This window comes from Homo sapiens, chromosome X (assembly GCF_000001405.40).
Source record: "Homo sapiens chromosome X, GRCh38.p14 Primary Assembly".
Classification (NCBI taxonomy): domain Eukaryota; kingdom Metazoa; phylum Chordata; class Mammalia; order Primates; family Hominidae; genus Homo; species Homo sapiens.
In genome coordinates, this window is record NC_000023.11 from 9075242 (window position 1) to 9094691 (window position 19450).

The window sequence follows — 19450 nt, forward strand, 5'->3', positions numbered from 1 at the left end:
GACCCACCTGACAGCCCTTGGCCACTCTGGTTTTCTTCTTGGTTACCCCCTGAGGGCATGGCTACAGTATCTATTACTGCTTTTTGTTCATGGAGTGAACTGTTTTCTTAAACCACTTCAAGCCAGTTATTTCAAGAAATAAAGATTATGGTGATACTTTTCCAAATAGTGGAGGTTGAAAACAAACCACCAAAACACCATACAGATTCATCAAGAAACAAGTTACCTCTGCTATTAAATGAATGAATGAGTGAATGAATGAATAAATTAATGATATAGGAAGGTACTTTGGGTAGGAATCCAGTAGAGAACAATCAGTACTCTCTAAACCAATGTTGTCTAATAGAAATATGCATGCAACATACACAATTTAAAATTTTCTGGTAACCATGTCTAAAAGTCAAAACAAACAGATGAAATTAATCTTAATAATACATTTTACTTAATCCAACATACTCAAAATATTATCATTTCAATGTGTAATCAATATAAAAGATATTAATGAGATATTTCACTTTCTTTTGTACTAAGTCTTTGAAACTCGTGTATGCATTTTACACTTACATCACACCTTAATTCTGACTCACCCCTTTTCAAGCACTCAATAGCACTGTAGGGCTGGTGGCTGCCACACCGAACGGCACAGGTTTAAAAGGTGCAGCATCAACTTCACTGTCCACATCTATTCCCAGGTAATCTTGGCCAAGTCACCTTGCCTTTCTGATACCAACATTCATCATCTGAATCAAGAAGGCTGGAGAGCATCAGTGTTCTCCATGGTAAGGCAATGATTCTGAAGACATCAGTATTATAGACAAAGAAACGAGCATTCTACATATATGTGTGTGTGTAAACAAACACTGGAAGTACGGTGACTATCATCCTAGAAATCCCAATCTTAAAGTGGCCTCTCACACTCTACAAGGATGGGAAACATGACTCTACATGATTATTAAGGTTCTTCAAGCTCTTAACGTTTTGCTCCTCTTTGTTGTTATTGTTTTATGATTCTACAAATGGCAGCAGAAATAAAGCAATAGCATGTGTATTATTCACTTGATTGAAACAGGCATGTTTACTGCACTCAGGTGCTACAGAAACAGGCCTATAACCCAACACCTGCCTCTGCACTATTTAAAGTTAATTGAACAACAATCATGTCTTTAAACACAGAGGCGTCCACGTGGTGACGCACCATTAGTGGCTTTAAACTATGGTCAGCTCTGCTGCTTTAGAGAATAACGGAAAAAGAGACTACATTTTCTTTCTTCTCTTTATCGAAAGGTCTGTAAGATATACCTGCTACTCAGTTTCTTAAGGAAAACCTTTTTTGCTTGTCTTCTAAAGGTTGTCTTCTAAATTCCTAACAAATCTATGAGCAAGTTAGAGGCAACAGTTCTATATTATTTGGTTGTGTGAGCCTAGCGTTTGGCACAGCATCTAGCACACATTTGGCCCTCAATATGTGCTTATCAAGTACAGGAAGTAGCATCTCAAACCTCACCATGGGTTTGCAAATGTAATAACTACATGTGGCTAATAATACATCTTCTGCAGTGCTCCCGGGGCTGTGCCCCAGGGGAGAGGTTGTGCATGTGAGGTTTTCTCTATTACCAGGTATTGATTAAGAGTTGGAAGGGAGGAGAGAGCTGGAAAAATTGCAGAGGAGGCCCACAGACAGCTCGTACCCACCTTCACTACCTGGAAAACAGCGAGAGGAGAAACAGCTTCCTTCTCCTGAGCCCCAGACCAGTCACTGAGACAACTCTTGGGTACCTTAAAGAATGTCTTTCTGGCCAGTTTATCTTATTTTAAAATCTATGTATACGTGTGCACACATAATTTTATGTAATGTCCTAATGTGGTTATCTCATATATACTAGCTCATATTTTGACAGTCTTGTGCATGTGTGTGCATGCCAGTGTTAAATTACTATGTTAAATTACACTTTGTGTATATGTTTAACATTGTAACAGTAATCAATAGATTCATGTCCAAAAGGGATATAAATATTCAGATTATCATCAGCAATATACGAAAATTCCCATTTTTCCGTATACTTTCCGGTAATATGTGTTATTGTTTTCACGTTGTTTTATAATATTTCTGTACCTAAAGCAAATGTCAGGTAAGCAATATGCACCCCCAAGATGTCACCCTTTTAGCTGAAATCAGAAAGCTCTACTTAACTGAATGCAGTAGGAAGGGCACTATTAATAAGAAGAGACTCCAGCTGGGCATGGTGGCTAACACCTGTAATCCCAGCACTTTGGGAGGCCGAGGCAGGTGTATTGCTTGAGTCCAGGAGTTCCAGACCAGCCTGGGAAACATGGTGAACCCCATCTCTACAAAAAAATATAAAAATTAGCTGGACATGGTGGCGTGTGCCTGCAGTCCCAGCTACTTGGGAGGTTGAGATAGGAGGATAGGAGGATCATTTGAGCCCAGGAGGTTGAAGCTGCAGTGAGCCATGATCGTGTCATTGCACTCCAGCCTGGACAACAGAGTGAGATCCTGTCTCCAAAAAAAAAAAAAAAAAAAAAAAAAAATGGTCTCTGTAGATCTGATTTGGGATTTACACTCTGCCCCCTAACCTGCCAACTTGTGAGAGTCCTTTAACCTCATATCAAAGGGCTGACAAGACAATATAAATTTTACAGGCCAAAATCAAAGTGAAGCTAAGAATCAAGAAACAATAGTAAAATACTAAAGACATTTTCCCCTAAGGGCATTTGGTCAACTGGGAAAATTTAAGTTTTAGATTCTAATTCCTCACAGGACTCAAAAAGTAGAAAACAAAATGCAGGGCTCCACCACTGGATATCTACCCAGAGGGAAATGTATCATTCTATCAAAAAGGCAGCTGTGCTGGTATGTTGATCACAGCACTATTCACAATAGCAAAGTCATGGAATCAACCTAATGTCCATCAACGTGGAATTGGATAAAGAAAATGTGGTGTGTGTATACCATGGAAAAAGTACTCAGCCATAAAAAAGAACAAAATCATGTATTTGGCAGCAACATGGATGTGCCTGGAGGCCATTATCCTAAGTGAAATGACTCAGAAACAGAAAGTCAAATACCACGTGTTCTCACTTATAAATGGAAGCTAAACTACAGGTACACATGCACATATAGTGTGGAATAATAGACACTGGAGACTCCAAAAGATGGGAAGGTGGGAGGGAGAGGAGGGTTGAAAAATTACCTACTGGGTACAATGTACCCTATTTGGGTACACTAAAAGCCCAGACTTTACCACTACACAATAGATCCATGTAAGAAACCTGCATTTTTACTCCCCAAATATATAAAAAATATATATAAATAAAATTTTAAAACCCAGGGCTCATCCAGTATAAGAAATCTAACAAACCCTTCTACCTCAAACCTGGGACTCCAAAGCCCTACACCCTTAGTGTAAGTTTGAGGCAAAATAAACTCACACAAAACCTCCACCATGAAGGGATGAATAGGACACTTTCCCAGGTCCCAAGGAAAGCAATGAAGGAATATAAATTAAAAAGCTATAACACAAACTAGTACTCATGTGGGTGTGCAACCCAAATTCATGTCACTTTGGATGTTCAAAAATGTTAAGCTACCTAGTTAATTCAAAATAATATGTATAAAACAATCTGTGGTGAAGAGATGGGCTCTTTGTTTAATTTCCAGCCCATGGGAACTCATACTTTAATAAAATACAATAAAAATGAAGTGCTCAAAAATTATATGGAGGCTGGGTGCGGTGGTTCACACCTATAATCTCAGCACTTTGAGGGGCCAAGGTGGGTGGATCACTTGAGCTCAGAAGTTCAAGACCAACCTGGGCAACATGGCAAGGCCCCATCTTTACTAAAATTACCAAAAATACTAGTCAGGCATGGCGGTGCACACACCTGTGGTCCCAGCTACTCAGGAGGCTGAGGTGGGAGAATCACTTGAGCCCAGGAGGTGGAGGCTGCAGTGAGCTGAGATCATGCTACTGTACTCCAACTTGGGCAACAGAGGGAGACCCTATCTCAAATTAAAAAAAAAAAAAAGATATGGAAAAAGAGTGAAGACAAACATAGCATATTAATGTTGCAGCAATATCAAGATACTATAAAAAACTTTGAGTGTCACTACTGATTTCCATAATTATCCCAAAAGGCTTACAAGCATTTTGTACAGCAACACCTGACCCCCAGTATCTAGCAGAACAAGTTCAAGTGCTCTCTGTGGAACACACCTCCCACTTAAGTGTTAGAGAATTCTCAAATAATTTTCCATGGGAAAAAAACACATTTCACAAGGAAAAGAAAATCGTAAGCACACAAGAAAAATAGGCACCATGAGGGAGAATTAAAGTAAAAAGACAGAAAGAACAGACATGCAAAATCTTCAGGTATTGAAATCATCAGACACTGAATCTAAAACAAACTTGCTCGTATGTTTAACGTGATAATGTGTAACTCACTACTATAAAAAGCGACCCAGGAGACTTGAAACAAACCCAACAGAAATGGAAAATAAAATAACAGAAATTTACAATTCAGTAGATGAGTTTAACAACAGACAAACATGGCAGAAGAGAGAATCAGGTAACAGAAAGATAAGGCAGACATTATTCAGAATGCAGTACAGCAAAACGAAGTAACTAAAAAGACGAAAGAGAAGTTTAAACCTATAGAAGATAGAAAAGGTTGAAGAAATTGACTAAAACATTTTCTCAGCATCCCAGAAGAAGGGAAAAAAAGAGAATAGGGCAGGGGAATTATTTGAAAAGAGAAGTTTTTTTTTTCAGAATGTATAAAAGACATCAATCTACAAATCCAAGAGTTCAAGTGAATCCCAAGGAAAATTCATAAATAAAAATGTACACCTAGGCAAGTTACAATACAATCTGAGAACATCAAAGAAAATCTTAAAAAGAGAGAAAAAAAGAAAGATTGCCCCCAAGGAGTGACATACTAACAGCTGATTTTCAACAACACAAACAGGAGGCAGGAAAAAGGATCTGGATCCAGCCATCAGCCACACAAACAAGTTTAGAAACAGCTCCTCCACTTGGGTCTTGAGACTTTGCAGTCCAACTCTTTGGGCACAGCCTGTAAGAGACCCAGGGTCAGAGGATACACCTAAGCTGCATCCAGATTCTTGACCCATGGAAGTGGTGAGATAATAAATCATAATAAAGAGATATTCAATGTATATTGTTTTAAACTGCTAGGTTTGGGGGTAACTTGTTATGCAGCAATGCATAGCTAATACAGTTAGTGTTGATCTGTCTACCTGCCATGAAATAGAACCACTACTCAGTATCTAAAAAATTAAAAATATACTTCACAAACCAGGGGAGGAAAAGGCATAGAAAATCCACAATCCGGCCAACAGTCAGTGGAGAAGGGAGAACTTATTATAATGTATTAGTTTGCTATGGCTGTGGTAACCAAGTACCGCAGACTGGATAACTTAACAGAAATTTATTGTTGCACAGTTTTGGAGTCTGAGTGGTTCCTTCTGAGGGCTATAACAGGTCCACCTCTCTCCTTGGCTCATAGATGGTTTCTTTCTCTCTCCATCTCTTCACTGCATCTTTCCTCTGTATGTGCCTATCATATTGGATTCAGGCCCAACCACTTTGAATTGATTACCTCTATAAAAACCCTATCTCCTTATGTCCAAATAAGATCACATTTTGATTTACTGGGGTGGGGAAGGACTTTGACACATAAATTTTGGGGGGACCCAATTTAACCCATAACACACAGTTAGGGAAAAAATGAAGTCACTAGATATCCAGACATAGACTCCATGCTTGGAATCACAAGTTCATTCCAGCCCCAAATAATTCTTGCCCATTGTTTTACTTGATTCAAAGTAAGGCTATAGCTGTAACATTCATTTATCTTGCCTGTCTTTATGTAAATGTGAGGTTTGATACGGTCTGGAGGGGTTCTTTATTATGGTTTTGCTCTCTTGTTATCAGTTTTTAAAAAATAATGAAAACCAAAATGCTGCAAATATGTCAACTTGGCATAAGATACCACCAGTTTAATGTGGCTTCACTAAGTTCAATCACAGCATTGTTTACGGATGAACTTTTTAGTACATCCTCATAAATCACTTCTAAGCTAATTAAAATCCCAAATGGAAGTGGTATCTCAGTTGTCCTGGAGCCTGGCTCTCCACTGAATCTCTCCATAATGAAATATGAAGATAATAAAATTATTCTAGGGGTCACAGTCTAGGATACAATTCCAAAACTCATAAACAATCCTCACTGGCATGCCCACAATAGCTGACAATGCAGTAGAAATGAAACAAGTGAAACCAGAGCAATGCAAGATGTTCCTACTGAGTGCAGCCCTTCCAGCAAATTAAGACTTAATTTCCCTGGGTCAGGTGTAGTAGCCGACTGCAGAAATCCAGAAATCCAGCCCGTGTTCCAGAACCAGATCCATTTTCTTTATGCATAGGGAGCTACTGTTGCTCTAACACTTTTCAGGTATGTTCCTATGTGTGTTCCTCACTCCATTTGGTCCTGATTCCCCTAATAAGATCAAGGCCCTTGAAACCAAAGATTTTGGGTTGTCTTCCCCCAAGGCCATCTGGTAAACCACGCAGAAGCTGAGTAGTGTCGTGGATGTCTTTGCTGCTGAAGGCAGGGCTTGCACCAAGGCTTTCCAGTTCCCACTGGGCTGGACTTTGTGGAATGAAGCAAAATGATGCAATCACCCCAGCAGAAAACACCATGGAAAGGATGAGGGAAAATAGATGGAAACAGTTTGTGAAACAACAGAGCCCTCTAAGTTCAGTGAATAATAATTTTAAAAATTTGCAACACTATCTGAAGACTATCAAAGACCCATACTATGGAAGAAAAAAAATAAAAGCAGAATAGCATTATTTCAGTCAAGGCAACACATTGAAGCAATGAGTGCTTCAAGTGGGATGTATGTCATAATAATGAAAGCTATATTTAAATCTAAGTTTCTTAGCTAACACCTGCCAAACTCCAGGGAAAGGCCAGTAAAATACACTATGAGAGAGAGAGAGAAAGAGAGAGAGAAAAAGGAAGAAGGAGAAGAAGAAGAAGAAGAAGAAGAAGAAGAAGAAGAAGAAGAAGAAGAAGAAGAAGAAGAAGAAGAAGAAGAAGGAAGAAGAAGAAGAAGAAGAAGGAAGAAGAAGAAGAAGAAGAAGAAGAAGAAGAAGAAGAAGAAGAAGAAGAAGAAGAAGAAGAAGAAGAAGAAGAAGAAGAGGAGGAGGAGGAGGAGGAGAGAAAGAGAGAGAGAGAAAGACAGAGAGAGAGAGAGAGAGAGAACCAATGCAGAAACAAACGCAGGGGTACCTTGGTTGGCAAAGAAAACTGCTCTTCAAAGGCATTGCCTGATGTTTTGTTGTATTCGACTCTGGGGTGTGCTTTCTTGGCTTTCATTTGAAGACACAGAGACTTCTCATTTGATGGGAAGAGAGAGCTGGTTTCACTAAGCCTCCAGGATATGTTCCTGAAAAAGAAATTACCAGCACATTTATAAACTCTACTCCACCAATGGAAATGTTCACCAGGGCTTCAAGAAAAAGAGCGGTGTACTCTCTAGAGTCATCAACGAGACTCAAGATGGAAGTAAGCCAATGGAAACAAAGATGTATACAGCTGAACTTCTCTAAACAAGATGGACATAGTTATAACAGGTTAAAAATAAACTATTTTAAAATAAGATTATTCTAAATTTCCCTGCTGTCCTTAAAATCTGTCTGTATTGCTGCCTTAACATTGCCCACAAATTTCAAAAGCCTTTCTATGTGGAGAGTAGATAAGATTCATTTAAATTCTCATACATGTCTGAAATATAAACAAGAAAAACAAATTAACTTAACCTACACATTTAGCAGAAGTTAATTATAATAAAATTAGGCCAAACATGGTGGCTCACACCTATAATTGTAGTACTTTGGGAAGCCAAGGTGGAGCAGATCGCTTGAGCCCAGGAGTTAGAGACCAGCCTGGGCAACATAGAGAAACTCCATCTCTACAAAAAAATACGGAAATTATCTGGGCATGGTGGCATGCACCTGCAGTCCCAGCTATTCAGGAGGCTGAGGTGGGAGGATTACTTGAGTCCAGGAGGTCAAGGCTGCAGTGAGCCAAGATCACGCCACTGCACTCCAGCCTGGGCAACAGAGTGAGACTCTGTCTCAAAACAAAACAAGAAAGAAAGAAAGAAATTAAATACATCCAGCTCAAACTGAGAAGCAGCAGTTCTTAAACTTCGGTGTGATCCAAATGCAATTGAAAGGAACTAATAAATGACCTGGGAGGTAAGTTGGTAGACTCCTCAATCCTTCTGTGTGGACTATTGAGCCAGCCCTCCACCAGGATATCCATTGAGTAAATTTGTGTGGACAGCCTCCTTTATGCCACGCCATGTCCAAACCACTGGGGCCAAAGTCAGAAAAAAAAAAAGTAGCCAAAATTCTCTGCCGTCCCAGTATCCACATTCCAGCAGCTGAAGACAGATAATATACAAAATAAATAGAGTGATTTAAAAATTTAGATGTCGGTGTATTCGTTTCCTAGGGCTGCTGTGACGAATTACCACAGATTTCATAGCTTGAAACAACGCAAGGGTCGTATTGCACAATTTTCAATGTCAGAAGTCCAAAATCAATCTCATTTCGCTAAAGTTAGGGTGTTGACAGGGTTGTGCTCCTTCTAGAATCCATTTCTTGCCTTTTTCAATTTTCTAGATGCTGCCTGCCTTCTTGGCTTGCAGTCTTTTTCCCTTCTCTAAGCCAGCAATCACATCACTTGGATCCTGCTTCCATCCTCACATCTTCTTCTCTGACTGTAACCCTCCTACCTCCCTTTTTTAAGTACTCTTGTTATGACACTGGGCCCACCTAGATAATCCAAGCTAATCTCCAAATTTCAAGATCCTTAACTTAATCACATCTACAAAGTTTCCTTTGCCATGCAAGGCAACATATTTGCAGGCTCCAGGGATTAGGATATGCACAACTCTGGGAACCCTTAATCTGGCTACCAAAAGTGCTAAATGCTCTAGATCAAAGCAAATCAAGCAATCTGACATAGATACTAAAAAAATGTCAATTGCCTCTTTTCCTTGCTTTTCTTGAAGCTGGGACATAGAGGTAATCCAATCCCACCTAGTAAAGTCATGGATTATATTGGGGCAAGCAGGATGAGATCCTAAAAAAAATACTTTCTTCCCTGATAAAAGAGAGACAATCAAGAGGAAATCCTCCCTGCTTCCATCTGGTCTTTGATGCTGACATTTGAAAATGTTCTACAGTCATGCGCAGCATAACATTTTAGTGAAAAATGGATCACGTATATGATGCTGGTCCCTAAAATGGAGCTGAAAAATTTCTCTCACCTAGTGGCTTACAGCCCTTGAAACAACATAGTGCAATGCATGACCTTTTCTGTGTTTACCTATGTTTAGATACACAAATACTAGCACTGTGTTACAATTGTCTACAGTGTTCAGTACAGTAACATGCTGTACAGGTTTGTAGCCTAGGAGCAATAGGCTTTAGCATAAAGCCTCAGTTTACTGTAGACTATACCATCTAGAAACCTAAGCACATGCTATGACATTTGCATAACTAATAAATCACCTAAAGAATTTATCAGAATGTATTCCCATCTTCAAGTGATACCTGACTATATATGGGATGTCAGCAGCCACCTTGTTACCATGAGGGAAAAGTCTAGAGTATGGGAGACATCAACCATAATATGGTTTTGTTGCTAGATTAACATCCACAGAACCCCCAGGTCTGGAATTATCATGTAAGATTAAGCACAAACCATTATTAAGCAATTTAGCCAAGTACAGTCGGATGGATTCCACATCTTTGGATTCAACCGACTGAGGATCAGAAGTACAATATGTGCTGGATGCAGAACCTGCAGATAAGGAGGGTTAGATTTTCATACCCATATGTTTCCCAGGGGAACTTTAAGACTTCAACATCTTCGAATTTTAGTATCCTGGGGGGTCTTTGAACCAATTCTCCACGGACACCAAGGGATGACCGTATGCTAGTACTAGAAGGTAGTGTGGTTCTGCTTTTTGCTTGTAATGGCACCTCAGTTAGAGTCAAACCTCATATATTAACCATCAGGTTTTCTAAATAGCATGGACATCTGTAGTGGTTGCTGTACAGAGAAAAGCATAAAAGGACAATGACTACAAAACACTCATCATAACTCCAAGTCTACTTACTCTCTTCTGCCACTCAAGATGGGCCAAGGCAAGACCAGCCATAGCATGACTTGTGGTCTTTCCATGGTAGCCACAATTCACTAAACTTATGGCATATTGTGATCCTCCCTTCTTTTGTTTTCTGGGCTGCCTAATACTTTTGCTGCCTGACATTCTTTGTGTTTGATCAAGGCCTTGCCAGATATGTCCACAGCTGCTGATTCCTGTAACATGGACACAAAGAGGGGAACAAGAGACACCACAGCCTTCTTGAGGGTAGAGGGTAAAAGGAGGGAGAAGATCAGAAAAAAATACCTATTGGGTACAACGCTTATTACCTGGGTGATGAAACAATCTGTATACCAAACTGCCATGGCATGCAGTGTGCCTATATAACAAACCTATACATGTACACCTGAACCTGAAATAAAAGTTATAATAAAAAATGCCAACTTCAATACCTGCCACAGTCTTACTACTTCATTTCTGAACTGTGGTTTTAGAGAAAGAGTTGGTCCTCTGAACAGGCTTTGTAATCCGACTTTCCAGATCCAAATCATTGCTTTCTCTGGGTTGCCTTCCAGATTCAAATCATTGTATCCTGTGGCCCACAGAGTCCAGCTATTAACCTTCCTTCCTAAGCATATCCTTGGATATATATGACGTAAAGTCAAATGGGATATTTAGTAATACGGTGAAAACTAAAAACCTGCAATCCAGCATCTCCGTGTGCTGTATCTCTTCTTGTTCAAGAAAACTAATTACACATTTGGTTAAGAATCTATCTGTAGCATCTCCAGACACCCATCATCTGGAGAGCCATGCCATTAAGTCTACCTGCTCTGAAGAAGACCCTAATTCCCTGAAATCACACAGCATCATAATCTGACTTTGGTGTCTCTAAGGATTTCTGGTATTCTTGACTGCATTTTTGTGCTTCTTTGCTGCCTTTACTCTAGAATTATGAAACTACCTAAAGCTCTGACAGCTAATGAAAAACTATTGGCCATGTGTACAGTTGGGATGAGATCTTCATGTTCTCATCTGGGGTGATGCCATTAAATAATCCCAACTGATTTAGCAGCTCATCTCCACTATCAGGTGGTAATCATGGTTTCTAAATTCTGGGGAAGAGAGAGGGTTATTAGACCAAAGTGTATCTCAGGGAATACAGCTGAGGGGTTAGTGGAATAGGACACATAGCCTTAGGTCTTATGAGGTGACAACATAGAATTCAATCCTAAAGGAGCTGTCTGTCCATAAAAGATCGACTAGAACATCTTTCTACTAGAGGGAAATGCCCTATTACCATCTTCCTGGACCTCTGAGTTGGGGGGAAATTACCACTACAAGAAATGACAGTCAAAATTTGGATAAAATGCACAGTATAAGAATCAAAATACAAGAAAATTCATCAGCACAACAGAAGCAAATGCAAAAATCATTCTATAACATCCCTCCAGAAGCCTACAGGGAGCACTAAGGGAAAAAAATACCCCCACTGAAAATGAGCTCATACTAAAAAATTCAAAGGTACATAAGGAAAGGGAACACTATAAGAAGCACAACTGGTGTCCTAAAATCCCCAGATAATTATGTAAGAGGTCCTTTAAGCTCTTTTTATTATATTTAACACAGATTTAAAAAAAATACAAACTGTAACAAAAGAATAGGACACTATATGAAAAGGACAAGATTGTTTGAAAATAAGTCAAATAACTTTCTAGAAATGAGAAAATATAGAAATACAGTCATTGACAATGTAGTAATAGAAGACAACACTGGCTTGCAAGACAACCTTTCTGAAATGGGTAAAAACAGTACTGTCTTTGGAACTGGAGACTTTTTTTTTTTTTTTTTTTTTGAGACAGGTTCTTACTCTGTCGCCCAGGCTGGAGTGCAGTGGTGCAATACCTCGGCTCACTGCAACCTCTACCTCCCAGATTCAAGCAATTCTCCTGCCTCAGCCCTCCCCCCACAAATAGCTCGGATTACAGGCACATGCCACCACGCCTGGCTAATTTGTGCATTTTTAATAGAGATGAGGTTTCACCATGTTGGCCAGGCTGGTCTTGAACTCCTGACCTCATGTGATCCACTCGCCTCGGCCTCCCAAAGTGCTGGAATTACAGGCATGAGCCACTGCACCCAGCCAGAACTGGAGACTTTCCTTATTACAATGCATTACATAGCTAAGGTAACAGCTGACTTTCTCCTCTGATATGCACTGGCTTCAGTATGGGACAACCTCAATAGCCAGGAAACTAGGAAGTAGAGCTGACTTTTCTTCCAACCGTTACTAAAGCACAATTTCTTTCCTTCTGAGGCCACGCTCCTTCCATGGCCTCATTTATATTTTATGATATGGGGAACTGCACTCAAGGTTATGGAAACATTTGGTTCCTCTCCCTGGCACCTCTTTCAGAATCAGAGAATGAGGAAATCTAACTCTTAGAACCCCTGAAGCTCTTATGAACCCAGATATGTTCATCTGTGCAGAGAGCAGCCCTAACTCTCTTCATCTGTTCAGTGAAGTGTATTGGACACAGTTCCTATTTGTTCTAAGTAGAATTTATATCTATTCTACAATTCAGCATTAATTTTGTGGTACAGTTTTCATTTGTATATGCCCTATGTACAGTAAAGGATATTTGTAAATTAAGGGATGAGATAGCTTAAATGACTCACCAAAACAAGATTAAAGCTAAATAGCTGCAGGTGTAGTAATTGAATTGAAAAATACTTCTTGGACACTGGGGCATATTCCCTGAGAATTAGAACTTCATTAGCAATAAATATTTTCATAAGCCACTAACAACTGAGCAGCTTTTTTTTTTTTTTTTTTTTTTTTTTTTTTTTGACAGAGTCTCACTCTGTTGCCCAAGCTGGAGTGTAGTGGCGCAATCTCGGCTCACTGCAACCTCCACCTCCCGGGTTCAAGCAATTCTTCTGCCTCAGCCTCCCAAGTAGCTGGAATTACAGGCATGTGCCACCACAACAGCTAATTGTTTTATATTTTTAGCAGAGACAGGGTTTCACCATGTTGGCCAGGCTGGTATCGAACTCCTGACCTCAAGTGATCCATCTTCCTCGGCCTCCCAAAGTGCTGGGATTACAGGCATGAGCCACCGCGCCAGGTATTGAGTAGCACTTTATCTAAGCAAGAGTAAGTATAAACTAGATATTCTAAATCTTCTGTGCTTTAAAAACAGTATTTCCAAATGTTTAGCTCCAATTGTCTCCTATTCAGCTAAAATGTAACATAACTTTCTGAAAATATGCCCTAGACACTGGGTGTGTAGAAATGGTCTCTTTCACCTCTTGTGCCTTCACCCTGTTTAATCTCAAGTTAGCACAAGGAGTTAGAGAGAGTACAGCTTATAGTATAGGAGATGATATTCTTGCTGCTATATTTACAAGCACGAATGCAAATTTCGCTAGAAGGAACCTCCTGGTGGGATTAATCATCCAAATTCCCATTAGAAAGGCTTTCTGGTGAAAGTAGGACAGGAATAGTGGTGACTGTCCCCTGAGGACTCAGGTGCCATTTCTAATGACTTGTTTTTCTGTGCAAGAAGATGCTTCCGACAAAACTGGCAGAGTTGGCTGTGCTTATTTCCCTTTTTAAAAGTAATGGGAAAAGAAGTAGCTGTGTTGTAACTGCAGAAATTAACCAATCTGTAAAATCAAGTAAAACACAGAAATGTAATGTGGGTGGGGTTAATAAACACAAGATCAGAATAAGACTACACCATTTCTTTTTCAGAGAAATTTGCCATTTTGAGACTACCAAGCCAGGAGAAATTTCAAACCCACTCACCTGCCACTTCATATCTAGTGTATAAATATTTTAGGAAAAGGACTCATGATCCAAGTATTGAGACAAGGGAAAGTTTCCTCCCAACCCCCTACCCACCCCTTTGCAAGAAAGGACACAACTGCCTGGACTTCTCGCCACCCCCACCCTTGGCCAGAGACAGAACACAGAACGTCTGAGGTCAATGAGAAGTTTAACTAACAGAGCTTCTCAAATCTTTCCTTCGAGTGCTCCTCCTGACAGCAGCAAAGCCGAATGAATCTCCCTGAGGAACTGGAGAGAGAGAGAGAGAGAGAGAGAGAGAGAGAGAGAGAGAGAGAGAGAGAGGCAGGCCATGGCAATCCTAGCAGCAAGACATTTCTTTTAAGGAAATTGTATGTTTTATATAAATCATGCTTTATTCAAGAAATTAATGCAAATTTTGCCTTCTAAGTAATTTTACAGCCATGTGAGTTTTAGTATGGTGAGGATGTTTTAAATTGCAACTGTAGCTCTAGGATTGTTTATCCTATGGCTTTTCAGATCCCTGGCACACTTCTTCATCCCCCTGAGGATAGCCTACATGTCAGGCTGAGATGGGAGGTTAATGGATTTTAAAGTCTGCTGCCTTAACGTGACAACTCATAGTGTTGAAACTCGGTTTTGACAGCTTATGCAAGTAGAGGGGGAAAAAGCAAGCATTTTGCTAAAAATAGCAATTGGAGAGGAAGTGCCTGAGCAAGATAAATCAAAGATTTTCCTTCTGTGATCATTATATCTTTCACAAATCCTGAGCAGACATCACACCTTGTCTGTATCCCACATTGCACCATGTATCTAAGTTTCATCTCTCAACTGTGATTGATAAACTCACTAAAGAAAGGTACCGTGCCTCATAATTTTTTGAAGACCTTACTGTTAGCAAAACAATTTTCCATGAATATATGGCTAATACAATTAAGGAATTATTTATGATAAGGATGTTTGCTGTTTACTCCAGTACTCAAGAGTTATGCTAGCAATACACAACGACCTTCGAATCAAAACCACAAGTCTACCCCCAGGAAGCATATGAATCTTCAAGCTTGCAAAAATCACTCTGATCTCCTGCAAAAGTCTCTGGGAGGAAGGTGAATTTAGGAAGCAAGAGGGGAAAGATGTAAAGTCAAACATCTGCAAACAAATGACTTTGTTTAAGAGAATAAGAAAAAAATGACCAGAACATGCTACATACCACCTTTTATGTTAAACATTTACCTGCAAAAATCAAAAATAGATTTTAATCATTCTCTATTGTGGTTTAATGCCCAGGTCCCTTTTTGTGTAAGAAACAGTTGACTTTCAGTTCAAGAATACCCTCCTGCTTCCTGGACAGGGTTGTGAGAGTTTAATTTTCCTAACCCTCCCTGGGAACAAGCCACATGCCTCTGAACAATGTTTCCTGGCATTTTTGGTGGTCAAAGAGGATTGATGACATTGAAGCATATTCAGTACTCAAAGAACCCAGTCTATTTGCCTAAATTCAAACCAAAAAAAAAATCAGTCTACTGTCAGCACAAATATTTCTTGGGAATATGAGAGGGCTCAATGTTGGTCTCTGCTGATGGCAAATTGAGCACTCAGCAGTGGCTGTAGCCATGTCAGCCTTGGTAAGTGGAAGTCCATGTTGCTGAACCCATGTGTAACCTTCATCCCTGCCACCATGGGCCCATTGGGCCATGACAGGGGTGGCTGGGGAAAGTGGCTGAGTGGTGTCCACAGAACGAGTCATCCTATCTACTTGATTATTAAAATCTTCCTCTGCTGAGGTCACCCTTTGGTGAGCATTCACATGAGATACAAATATCTTCACAATTTTGACCACTCAGAGAGGTCCATCCACATACCTCTTCCCCAAATTTCTTTGTCACCAATTTTCCAATCATGCTTCTTCCAAGTCTCTGACCATCCAGCCAAACCATTTGCTACAGCCCATGAAGCAGTATATAATTGCACATCTGACCACTTCTCCTTCCAAGCAAAGCCCACAACCAGATGCACTGCTCGAACTTCTGCCCACTGGGAAGATTTCCCTTCACCACTGTCCTTCAGGGATGTCCTAGAAAAGGGCTGTAGTGCTGTAGCTGTCCACTTTCAGGTGGTGCCTGTATATCGTGCAGAACCGTCCGTAAACCAGGCCCTAGTTTCTCTTCCTCTATCAACTGATCATAGGGAACTCCCCATGAGGCCATCAGTACAGGCTGGGGGAAAGAAGGCAGGGTGGCAGGAATGGAGACCATGAGCATTTGAGCCACTTCTTCTTGTAACTCACTTGTGCCTTCAGGACCTACTTGAGCCAGATCATGTATATATCACTCCCATTTGATGATGAAATGCTGCTGTGCATACCCAACTTTATGGATAGATAGGCCAGAAAGTACCCAGTTCATGATAGGTAGTTCAGGTCGCATGGTGACTTGATAAGCCATAGTCAAACATTCAATTTCTACCAAAGCCCAGTAACAGGCCAAGAGCTGTCTCTCAAAAGGAGAGTAGTTATCTGCAGAAGATGGCAGGGCCTTGCTCCAAAATCCTAGAGGCCTCTGCTGTAATTCACCTATGGGGGCCTGCCAAAGGCTCCAGACAACATCCCTATCTGCTACTGACACCTCAAGCACCATTGGATCTGCTGGGTCATATGGTCCAAATGGCAGGGCAGCTTGTACAGCAGCCTGGGCCTGTTGCAGAGCTTTCTCTTATTCTGGACCCCACTCAAAACTGGCAGCCTTTCAGGTCACTAGATAGATGGGCCAGAGTAACACACCAAATGAGGAATGTGTTGCCTCCAAAATCCAAATAGGCCCACTAGGCATTGTGCCTCTTTCTTGGGTATAGGAGGGACCAAATGCAGCAACTTATCCTTTACCTTAGAAGGAACATCTTGACAGGTCCCACACCACTGGACCCCTAGAAATTCCGCTGAGGTAGAAGATCTCTGAATTTTAGTTGGATTTATTTTTTTATTTAAAATTTACTGTATTAGTTTCTTCTCACGTTGCTATGAAGAAATACCTGAGACTGAGTTATAAAGGAAAGAGGTTTAATTGACTCACAGTTCCTCACGGCTGCGGAGACCTCAGGAAACTTACAATCATGGTGGAAGGCATGTCTTCATAGGGCGGCAAGAGAGAGACAGTACAAGCAGGGGAAATACCAGACGCTTATAAAACCATCAGATCTCATGAGACTCACTCATTATCACGAGAACAGCATGGCGGAAACCGCCCCCATGATTCGATTACCTCCACCTGTGGATTACAATTCAAGGTGTGATTTGAGTGGGGATGCAGAGGCAAACCATATCAGAATAGAAAAATATTTCTGTGTCCTTATGTCTCTGTTAAAGGTCGGAGAACAAAAGGAACAACAAAAGAGCCGGATGTTTCCCTTCTTACATATTTTATACGTAATGTCAACTTCAGCCATGAATATTACTCACCTGGCCCCTGTGGGCCATTGAGTTTTCACTCATTGCATTGAGAAGAACCACGTGCCTGCTTCAGAAGAGACCTCACTTGCACATTATTAGGAAGAATTTGCAAAATACAAACCCTGATATGTCCTGCCATCTCAATCTTTATATACTATGGTGGGATCAGGGATTTGGCAGGGGGTTATGATCAATTGCAGCAATGCAAGGCAGCTCTGCTGTCTTCTATGAAAGAGCAAGTGGCAAGAGGAGCACTCTCCATCTCTAAATAGTCATAAAACCTTTGTGGCAGAGACCAACTGTGGCTGCCTGCACAGTCCCCACTCTCCTGATCATCAAACTGAATAAAAGCAAGATTCCAATGGAACCACAAATAATATGCATCTGTCCTCTGTCCTCCCAAGCATGAAGGCATTTCCAGCTTCAGCCTAGAATATATAGAGCTGGAGAGAGCATTATTACCATTCCCATAACACATCTTTTTTAAAAAGCCGGATCATCTACAAAATCATTAATCTCCTTGAACTCATCAGAGAGTTAAGATTGCAGGGCAACCAAGGAAACTGAATGTAAAGACAGATAGGTACTAAGGAGAGCAAAGATCATCTGGTGGCTATGAAGCAGGCCATCCTGAGGCAAAACTCCTTATCCGAGGAATTCAGAAGTAATTACACTTCCCTATTATCTAAAGCTGGCATCAGTTCCACTCTTCTTTCCCAAAAATGTATAAGTAACTAAAATTTCTATACATCTCTGGAATGCATGCATGTCAAGTCTCATTGTGCAACCCTTGCTGACATCAAGGCACCTAAATGTCCACAAATTTAATCATTTATCGTGACCTACGTGGCTAATGTGGTCCAAATTACCCTGCAGCTCCTGCTTTAAAGTCCATAAATACACTAAGGAAAAGTCCACCAGGTGCACTCATTCCTCTCTTACTGAAGTGCCCTGCTGCACTCTGCTGCAGTGTTCTTTCTACCTAATAAAACTTTCCTTTTCAAGCCTATACTGTTGTTAGTAAATTCTTCTTACTACCCGCGAGCCAATCACTTTCCGTTGCCGGGTCTCGGACACCTTGCCCAGCAGGTGCCTCCAATGAGAGATGACATATAAGCACTGGCTCAAGTATTAGAGAGCATGGGACCAGGTGCGGTGCCTCACACCTGTAATCCCAGCACTTTGAGAGGCCAAGGCAGGTGGATCATGAGGTCAGGATATTGAGACCATTCTGGCTAACACGGTGAAACCCCCTCTCTACTAAAAATACAAAAAAGTAGCCGGGTGTGGTGGCACATGCCTGTAGTCCCAGCTATTCAGGAGGCTGAGGCAGGAGAATCGCTTAAGCCTGGGAGGCGGAGCTTGCAATGTGCCAAGATTGCACCACTGCACTCCAGCCTGGGCAACAAAGCGAGACTCCATCCCAAAAAAAAAAAAAAAAAAAAAAAAAGCATTAGCACGGGAGGGGGATAGTGCCTCCATAAGAGTAGGTAGAAAGAATCCAGCTAGTTTTTTAATGAATTCCTAAAAGTCAAGAGGAGGCTAGCATAGAAGTTGGGAATCTCTGGGATCATGGACATAGGGATTTGCACCACTCACAGACTCTTTCTATGGGCACCCACTGTGTGCTCATGAGAAAAATGGGAGAGAGCAGGGGATAGGAGAAAGCCTCCCTTGGCTGTGCAAGCTTGGCAGAGGGGAACAGTCACCACTGGGGGAAAAGCATGAGCCCCTCTCACATCCTCCTTCACTAAGGAACAAAAATTTTAAGTTACTGGGAGAACACTGGCAAACCGGTCACTTGAGGGCAGTGGGGAGGAGGGAAAAGACAAAGGTCCTCTATCATCGAGGGAGGCACAGAAAGCCCTCTGGACTGAGAACATCTGAGGTTTCCTGTGGCTCAGAGAAGGGCAGGGTCGCTGAAAGTGCACGGCTCCCCCTCCAGAGAAACTGGGACACATGGC

General features: G+C 41.0%; 1 annotated feature.

Annotated features, from left to right (window-relative positions):
- Positions 16207 to 16336: an enhancer, noted in NCBI's record as "active region_29397". NCBI's record gives its function as "activates an Ori minimal core promoter by ATAC-STARR-seq in GM12878 lymphoblastoid cells {active_cell/tissue: GM12878}" and the evidence as "EXISTENCE:reporter gene assay evidence [ECO:0000049][PMID:35858748]".